This window comes from Homo sapiens, chromosome 11, assembly GCF_000001405.40.
Source record: "Homo sapiens chromosome 11, GRCh38.p14 Primary Assembly".
Taxonomy (NCBI): Eukaryota; Metazoa; Chordata; class Mammalia; order Primates; family Hominidae; genus Homo; species Homo sapiens.
The window spans coordinates 72,450,562-72,460,025 of NC_000011.10; positions in this window are offsets into that span (position 1 = coordinate 72,450,562).

Sequence of the window (9,464 nt, forward strand, 5' to 3'; positions counted from 1 at the left end):
TGGCTCACGCCTGTAATCCCAGCACTTTGGGAGGCCGAAGCGGGTGGATCACGAGGTCAGAAGATCGAGACCACCCTGGCTAACACGGTGAAACCCCGTCTCTACTAAAAATACAAAAAATTAGCTGGGCGTGGTGGTGGGCGCCTGTGGTCCCAGCTACTCAGGAGGCTGAGGCAGGAGAATGGTGTGAACCCGGGAGGCGGAGCTTGCAGTGAGCCGAGATCGTGCCACTGCACTCCAGCCTGGGCGACAGAGCAAGATTCTATCTTCAAAAAAAAAAAAGCACCAAGTTATGACACTATTTATTATTATTATTATTATTACTTTTTTTTTTTTTTTGGCAGATGCCAAAATCTTGGTGTTTCCCGAATTTGCAGCCCTTTTCTGTACAGGCCTATGACTGCAAAAGAAAGGCACTCCCTGCCAGGTGCACTGGTTCATGCCTGTAATCCCAGCACTTTGGGAGGCCAATTACTTTTCTTCTATAGAGAATCTACTCTTCTGTGCCATCAAAAACTCAGGATGCACGGGACAGAAGGGAGGGAGTGGTGGGAGACGGGGCTGAAAGGTAGGCTGGAATTAGCTTGTGAGAAGCCTTATGAGCAATGCTAAGGAATTTAGAATTGATTTACTGAGGAGGTGATCACACTTCAGATGACTGGTTATTGTGATGGGGGTTTAGTGGATAGCAAGAAGGTATCAGATCAGAAAAACAAGCCAGATTTTGGGGATGTGAAAAGGTTCTTAATAGGTAGCAAGGATAGGTAGCAAGGAGAAGACATAAGAATTTCCATGGAGTTTGGATGCAACAGCAAGAGCACCATTAATTCGTAGGAGTGCCTTTCTTTCTTTCTTTCTTTCTTTCTTTCTTTCTTTCTTTCTTTCTTTCTTTCTTTCTTTCTTTTTTTTTTTTTTTTTTTGAGACAGAGTCTCACTGTGTCACCCAGGCTGGAATGCAGTGGCGTGATCTCGGCTAGCTGCAACCTCTGCCTCCCGGGTTCAAGCAATTCTCCTGCCTCAGCCTCCTGAGTAGCTGGGACTACAGACGCGCGCCACCATGCCCAGCTAATTTTTTGTATTTTTAGTAGAGACAGGGTTTCACCGCGTTAGCCAGGATGGTTTCGATCTCCTGACCTCGTGATCTGCCTGCCTCTGCCTCCCAAAGTGCTGGGATTACAGGCGTGAGCCAGTGCACCCAGCCAGGAGTGCCTTTCTTTTGCAGTCATGGGCCTGTACAGAAAAGGGCTGCAAATTCAGGAAACACCAAGATTTTGGCGTCTGCCAATTCTTTAACATACCTTCCATCAGGATGTGGGGTCTTTGTCCCTTCCCTTGAATCTGGGAAGGAGTTGTGATTGCTTAAATAGAATAAGGCAGAAGTGACGCCATGCCATTGTCCAGGCTCAGGTCTTAAGACACTAGTAACTTTCACTTACTGTCTTTTGATATGTGTGCTCTTGGAATCACGAGGAAGTTGGCGTTGACCCATGGTGAAGCCTATGTGGAGAGGAACTGAGGACCTTGGCCTACAGCCTTAGCTGAGCTCTTAGGTGACAGCCAGCCCCTGCTTGCTAGCCATCTTGGAAGGGGATTCTCCAGCCCCAGTCAAACCACCCCAGCTAATGCTGTGTGGTACAGAGATGAATCAGCCCCATCAAACATTGCCCAGATTGCAGATTCATGAGCAAAATAAGTGATTATTGTTGCTATAAGTCATTAAGCTTTGGGTAAGAGTTTGTTACTGTCTATTGTTTGTTACACAGCAATAGATAACCATGACAGCTGCTCATGCAGTTTGCCAGGAGGTGAGAAGGGAGAAGATATTTGCAATAAATATAACTGACAAAAGGCTCACATCTATGATTTAGTCTGCTCAGGCTGCCATAATAAAATCCCACAGACTGTGTGGCTTAAACAATGCATATTTATTTTCTCACAGTTCTAAAGGCTAGAAGTCCATGATTAAGCTACTAGCAAATTCAGCTCCTAATGAGGTTTCTATTCCTGGCTTGTAGATGGCTGCCTTCTTGTCATATCCTCACATGGCCTTTCCAGAGAGACAGCTCTGGTGTCTTTTCTTCTTTTTATAAGAACACCAGCCTTATCAGATTAAGGCTAGTCCCTTATGACCTCACTTAACCTTTGTTTCCTCCTTAGAGGCCCTATCTCTAAATACAGTCACATTGGGGGTTAGGGCGTCAACATAGAATTTTAGGGTGGGTACAGTTCAGTCCATCACTTCTTAGCATATAAAAAAGAATTCCTACAGATAAATGTTTTAAATAGACAAAATACTTGAACAAGCACAAGAAATGCAGATGGCCAATAAGCATATGAAAAGTGATTGATTTTATCAGTCATTAGGGAAATACAGAATGAAAACATGTTACAACTCTGTACCCACCAAAATGGTAAAAATCTGACAACATCAAATAATGGCCCCAACTAAAGCTGCTGTGCCATATTGTGTCTTTGTTGAAATGGATCAATTCAGTCTATGGCATTTGGCATGTGGCTACTGATCTGTCAAATGTGTTATTTTCTGTCACTGTCACTAAAAGCAGTTTACATCTATAGGAGAAGGTCATCAATACATGTTCACTGTCTTGTCCCATAACTATATTATTTCTCCTGCTCTCTGTCAAGACGTAGTCCACAGGGGCCTTGATCTTTATGTTTCACATATTGGTCCACTATATTGATGGCATCATGCTGATTAGGCCTGGACAATAGAAAGTGTCAAATATTCTGAATCCCCTAGTAAGACAAATGCATGCCAGAAGGTGGGGAATAAACTCTGTAAGAAATCAAGGGTCTACCACATTGGTGAAATTTTTAGGAGTTCAATGATCTGAGGAATTCTAGGATCTTCTTCTTCTTCTTCTTCTTCTTCTTCTTCTTCTTCTTTTTTTTTTTTTTGAGATGGAGTCTCACTCTGTTGCCCAGGCTGGAGCACAGTGGTGCAATCTCGGCTCACTGCAACCTCCACCTCCTGGGTTCAAGCAATTCTCTGCCTCAACCTCCTGAGTAGCTGGGATTACAGGTGCCCGCCACCATGGTTGGCTAATTTTTGTAGTTTTAGTAGAGACAGGGTTTTACCATCTTGGCCAGGCTGGTCTTGAACTCCTGACCTCATGATCCACCAGCCTTGGCCTCCCAAAGTGCTGGGATTACAGGCGTGAGCCACCATGCCCGGCCTCTGGGACATTCTTCTAAAACAAATGGCAAGTTATTGCATCTTCTAAACCCATATCACTAGAGAAGAGGTGGTGTTTTGTGGGTGGGGGGGATTTGGATTTGGGGAGCAATATACATTACACTTAGGAACACTGTTCTGACCTATTTCTCAAGTGACTAGGAAGGGTGCCAGTTTCAAGTGGAGCTCAGAGAAATATAGGGCCTTACAGCAAATCTGGGCTACAGTGGAAGCTGCCTTGCCGCTTAGTGGGTAAATGGTATATTTGGGATCAGTCCAGAGCAGATTCTAAGTTACAAGTAAGTTACATGAAGGAGTGGCCCAGTCTATATCACCCACTTTTGTAGCATTCAGCAAACCTCCTCCTTAATTCACACATGCAACCTCATGGAGGTTTTCCTTACAACCAGCTAACAAAGGAGAAAAAAAAATTGGGATGGCTATGGATGGGGGGGACTCAATATGTTTTTGTAACCAAAGCTGGACAGCTGCCACACTAATACTTCACTAAGTGGGACCCTAAAAGCAAGTGTAGTGAATAGTACACTTGGTTGTTACTTTGAATGGAGGGAAAGTAGTTTGAGGTAAGAATATACATAAACTCCTGGGCAGTGGAGAATGATTTAGCTGGTTGCTCAGGATTCTGGAAAGGTCAAGATTGGAGAATTAGAGACAAGCTGATGCAGGGGAAGAATCATGTGGCTGGATATTTGGAAGCAGATACAAAGTGAAGTGAAAGGACCACTTCTAATGGAGGGGGATGTGATTCTCCCTTACTGAAACTGACACCTGCTCTTGAAATGTTTGCCTTTCCTGCCTTAAGTGCCTTTCCCAGCACCACTATCCCAAAGGCCTGGAGTTGGGGAATGCCTGATCAACCCATATGGGATCCCAGAAGATGTTGCCCCAGACCGAAGGATCCATTTTACGGCCAAGGAGGTGCATAACAATAATCACAGTAGCCACTCGTTCTACCGTATATTGTATACTTGAAAGCAGCTGGCAAACAGAATGGTGAGATGGCCTATTAAAGGCTCATCTAAAGTGCCAACTTGGGGACAGTATTTTGAGGGTGGAGTCCTGTCCTCCAGGAAACCAATAGCCAACATATAAAGATGGAAGATTGGCCCCTCTCACCATCACTCCTAGTAACCAACCCCCAAATATTCGCTCATCCCCTCAACCTTGGGCTGCTGGATTTAAGGTCCTCATTCCCTGGGAGGAGGACTTTTCCACTAGGGGGCACAAAAAAGTCTCCGCTCAATCTGAATCTGTAACTGTGATCCGGTCACTTTGAGCTCCTTATGCCTGTGGACCAGCAGGCGCTAAAAGTTATACTGACAGCAGTGGTTGACCCTAATTATCATAATGACCTAGAGTAGCTGCCAATAATGAGGACAGTGAAAAAAATGTCTAGAATGTTGGAATTCTATGGTGTCTCTCAGTAATTCCAAGCCTAGTAATAACTGTGAATGAGCAATTGCAGCAACCACCACCTGACAAAGGCAAGACAACCAAGAGCTTAGACTCCTGAGCAATGAAGATCTCAGTCCTCCTGCCAGGCAGGCAAAGTAGACAAGATGGAATGCTAGAGTGGGGGTGGAGGGGAGGGTGTGGAGAGAAGAAAGATAATGTCTATTACCATTTTGGGTAACCAGTGGGATTGTAGCTTGTCTCAATAATCCCTATACATTAAATCTTTGTCTTTTTCACTTACTCCAACATGAAGCTTAATATTAAATCTTTTCTAGAGGCTGCAGCTGGCTAACATCTTTAACAGGGTGGATTTAACAGAATGGATATGGGATACAAAGGAATCTTAGTGGCGCAAGAAGTGACCAGAGTCTATGGTGCCCTGTGTCAAAACTCCTTAGCTTCCCTCTGACTTTGGCTATTACTGTGATTGATAGTTCTTTGTGACTGCAAACTCATCTTGTGGTGACTATTCCCACCTCAGGCAGGAATCTGTTTGCATCCTTATTTAATGTTTCATTTTTTTGATATTTAAACTACCAGAACCCAGTGGTAATTAAGATTTGCTTTTCAAATGGAGAAGAGCTGGCAGAAAAGGGCATGCTTTTACTCCAAACCTCAAAGAGTCTGCACTGTGATTCTCCTTTTGGGGCTTGGCAGAGGCTCCCCATACAATTTCTCTTTCTTCTACAGACACTTCCCACACCATGGGGTTTGCTGAGTCTCAAGACCCAAGCGGCAGGGCAGCTTGAATAACTGAGACCTGCTACAGGTATTTTTCTTGCTTTGGGTCCTACACAAGACTGTAAACCTGGATGGGCGTGGTGGCTCATGCCTGTAATCCCAGCACTTTGGGAAGTCAAGGTAGGGGGATCTCTTGAGGTCAGGAGTTCAAAACCAGGCTGGCCAACATAGTGAAACCCCATCTGTACTAAAAATACAAAAATTAGCCAGGCATGGTGGCACACACCTGTAATCCCAGCTACTCGAGAGGCTGAGGCACAAGAATTGCTTGAACCTGGGAGACAGAAGTTGCAGTGAGCTGAGATCATGCCACTGCACTGCACTCCAGCCTGGGTGACGGAGTTAGAGAAACTCTGTCTAAAAAAAACAAAACAAAAACAACAAAACTGTAAACCTTATAGATTCCTTGGTGAATGGACTGGAGCTACAAGTTCAAATGTAGAATATGTTGCCTCCAAAATCCAAACAGGCCTACCAAGCATTGTGCCTCTTTATTCATAGTGGACAATGTATGGTGAAGCAAACTGTCTGTCATTTTAAAGCTACTGTCAACATGCCGCAGGCCTTGGACCCCTAGAAACTTCCCTATGTGTCAGGTCCCTGAATTTTCACAGGGTTTATTGGCCAGCTTTTGAAACGCATGTGTTCCACTAGAGTATGTGGGATGCTTGATACTTCTTTCTCACCAGGTCCAATTAGCATAATGTCATCAATGTAATGGAATAGCATAATGTTCTGTGGGTTATCAAGGTAATCAAGGCCCCTTCTGGCTATAATATACCAAAGTAAAGAAGGTTGACACAGTCCTGAGGAAAAACAGTGAAGGAATACAGCTGTCATGCCACACAAAGGCAGTTTGCTTTTGAATGGAAAAGAAAACACTTTCCAGATGCCAGAGGCTATATTGATTTGCTCTGTTAAAGATACCACATCCAGGTTGCAGCTCTAATTGGATTCCCTACCTGATTACATTTACAATAATCCATAGTCATGTTCCAGGATCCATCAAGATTCTGCATCTGCCAAAAGGACAAATTAAATAGGATTGTGGAAGGAATAACTACCTTGCATCTTTCAAGCACTGGTGGTGGTATTAAGCATCGCAATTTTCTGAGGTTTTTTTTTTTTTTTTTTTTTTTGAGACGGAGTTTCATTCTTGTTGCCCAGGCTGGAGTGCAATGGCACGATCTCGGCTCACTGCAACCTCTGCCTCCCAGGATTAAGTGATTCTCCTGCCTCAGCCTCCCTAGTAGCTGGGATTACAGGGACCACCACCACGCCCAGCTAATTTTTGTATTTTCAGTAGAGACGGGGTTTTGCAATGTTGGCCAGGTTGGTCTCAAACTCCTGACCTCAGGTGATCCGCCCACCTCAGCCTCCCGAAGTGCTGGGATTACAGGCATAAGCCACCACACCCAGCCTGGGATGGTTTTTTGTCTGCCTTAATAGCTAGAATACACAGGCCTGGTCGACTACAAGGTGACAGAAGCATTGCCCCTGACCACCATTTCTCTCAATGACCCACTTGTGGAATTCATGTTTCCTGTAGCCTTAGGCCCTGAGAAGACCTATTCATATGTGCTTCCACCTGGGAACTGGAAACTGTGGTCATGTTTGGCCACTTTGGGCTCCTCATGCCAGAGGATCAGCAGACAAAGAATGGCATTTCTGTACTGGCAGGGGTAGTTGACCCTGAGTCACATGAATAGCAAGAGTTGCCATTTCATAATGGAGAATGAAAGAGCTCCCAGCCTGGGAAACATAGGGGGACCCCTGTCTCTAAAAAATTTTTTAAAAATTAGCCAGGCATGCTGGTGCGTGCCTGTAGTCCTGGCTACTCAGCAGGCTGAGGTCAGAGGATCATTTGACCCTATGAATTTGAGGTCACAGTGAACTATGATCATATCACTGCACTCCAGCCTGGGTAATAGAGTGAGACCCCATCTAAGAAAGATATAGAGATAGAGGAAGGAAGGAAGGAAGGAAGAAGGAAGGAAGGAAGATAGGAAGGAAGGAAGGAAGGAAGGAAGGAAGGAAGGAAGGAAGGAAGGGAAAAAGAAAGAAAGAAAGAAAGAGAAAGAAAAAGGAAGGAAGGAAAGAGGGAGGGAGGGAAGGAGGGAGAGAGAGAGAGGGAAGGAAGGAAAGAAAGAAAGTGAGGGAGAGGGAGGAAGGAGGGAAAGAAAGGAAGGAGAAAGAAAGAAGGAAAGAAGGGAGGGAGGGATGGAGGAAGAGAGAGAGAGGGAAGGAAATAAAGGAAGGAAGGAAGATGGGAAGAAGGGAAAGAAAGAGAAAGAAAGAAAGAAGGGAAGGAAGGGAAAGAAAAGAAGGAAGGAAAGAAGGGAGAGGGAAGGAAGGGAGGGAGGGAGGGAAGGAAGAGAAGAAAGTGAGAGTGGGGAAGGAAGAGAAGGAAGGAAGGAAGGAAAGAAAAAGAAAGAGAGAAGAAAGAAAGAAAGAAAGAAAGAAAGAAAGAAAGAAAGAAAGAAAGAAAGAAAGAAAGAAAGAAAGTAAGTCTGGAACTTGGGGGATTCGCTGGGCCATTTCTTGGTGCTTCTCTGCCCAGTGAGAACTGTGAGTGGTTAATTGCAGCAACCATGGCCTTACAAAAGCAAGGCAAGAGGGCTGAAGGTTTAGGTCACTTCACCAGGCCAGTGACCCAGACCAGCCAAAGTGCTGACTGAGGGTAAGGGAAACCTGGAATGGCTGGTGGAGGTGCAAAATGAGAATATCAATTATGGCCCTGGATGTCAATTATGACCAGCTGTAATAATGGGATTTAACTTGGTTTTCTAACTCCTTTTTTAGGAGATTGGAACTGGCCATCATCTTGAAGAACTGGGTTTTAAATTTTCTTCTTGAGAAAAAGTGAGAGCATCATTTTTTTTCTCATGCAAGATTCAGAAATGAATGGGTCTGAGCAGATCTATGTGGTGCAATGCATGGATGTGCAAGATCCAGTTTCTTTGCACCCCAAATGTGTTGAGCCTGACTTTTCCGCTCCTCTTCCCCAGGGCCTGAGCCTCTTGCCCTATTTTCTGGCTGGATTGGCCCTGGGGATGGCTCATTTCATTCCAGTGGTCATCGCCGTGGCTCTGGTTGCCTCAGCGGAACCTCAGGGTTGGACAAGGCTTCAGCACAGCTTCTGTCACAGCCACTGCCATAGGAGCTGTGGCAGCTTCGATACCACGTCTCACCTGACTGGGTCCATGGAGGCTCTGGCTTCCCCTGTGACTTCCCAGAGTGGTCAATACACAACCTGCAAATCGTAGGGAATTAAAGCTCCATGGGGATGATTTTGACCAAGGAGAAGAATGCCAGAAGGCTTGAGAAGGAGTTGAATAACCTCTGCGTGCCCCTGCTGAATTGGGTTTAGACGCCGTGGTCCTCTGGCCTCTCTGGAGGAGCCCTGTGAGCCCCGCGGTTGGATATTCTTGGAAGATGTTGCCAGCTCTACAGCACACTTTGTGGTTGCTCTCCTGACTTTCCTGCCTGACTGCTCCTTTCCCTCATTCTTGCTTCTTTCTCAGTAAAGCATCAGCACATTTGCTTTGCTTCAGGCTGACTCTGTGTTCCAGGGACCCTGGCCTAGGAAAGAGGTGTGTTCAGAGCATGGGATATTTGAAACTGAACTAGTGATGGGATTGAGGTGATTGTTATGACAAGACTTAAAATATGACCATGGAAGACAATCGCTTAGGTAGAATGGATGACCAGTTCGTTGGAGAAGAGAATATCATGGAATCTAGAGTCCAGGTTCCTGGAATAATCATCCATGTGGGTATGGAAATCTCTAGGAATGTTGGTGAGGATGATCCAGGAGCTAAACTCTTCAAAGCATGGGGGAAGGTGGCAGAGATGCCTGCAGACAGAGGGACTGTGGATTGTGGATACTGAGTCTGAAAGAGAGGGCATCTGGGATTAGCAACGGGGAACGAGGAGAACATCTAACTACCCCCCAGGCCCAGTAATAGAAGGGCTGTGGGAGGGCAAGCAACCACCTCTGAAGAGGACAGCAAAGAAAGAAGTATCCTTAGAGCATGAGGATGAAGAGAAC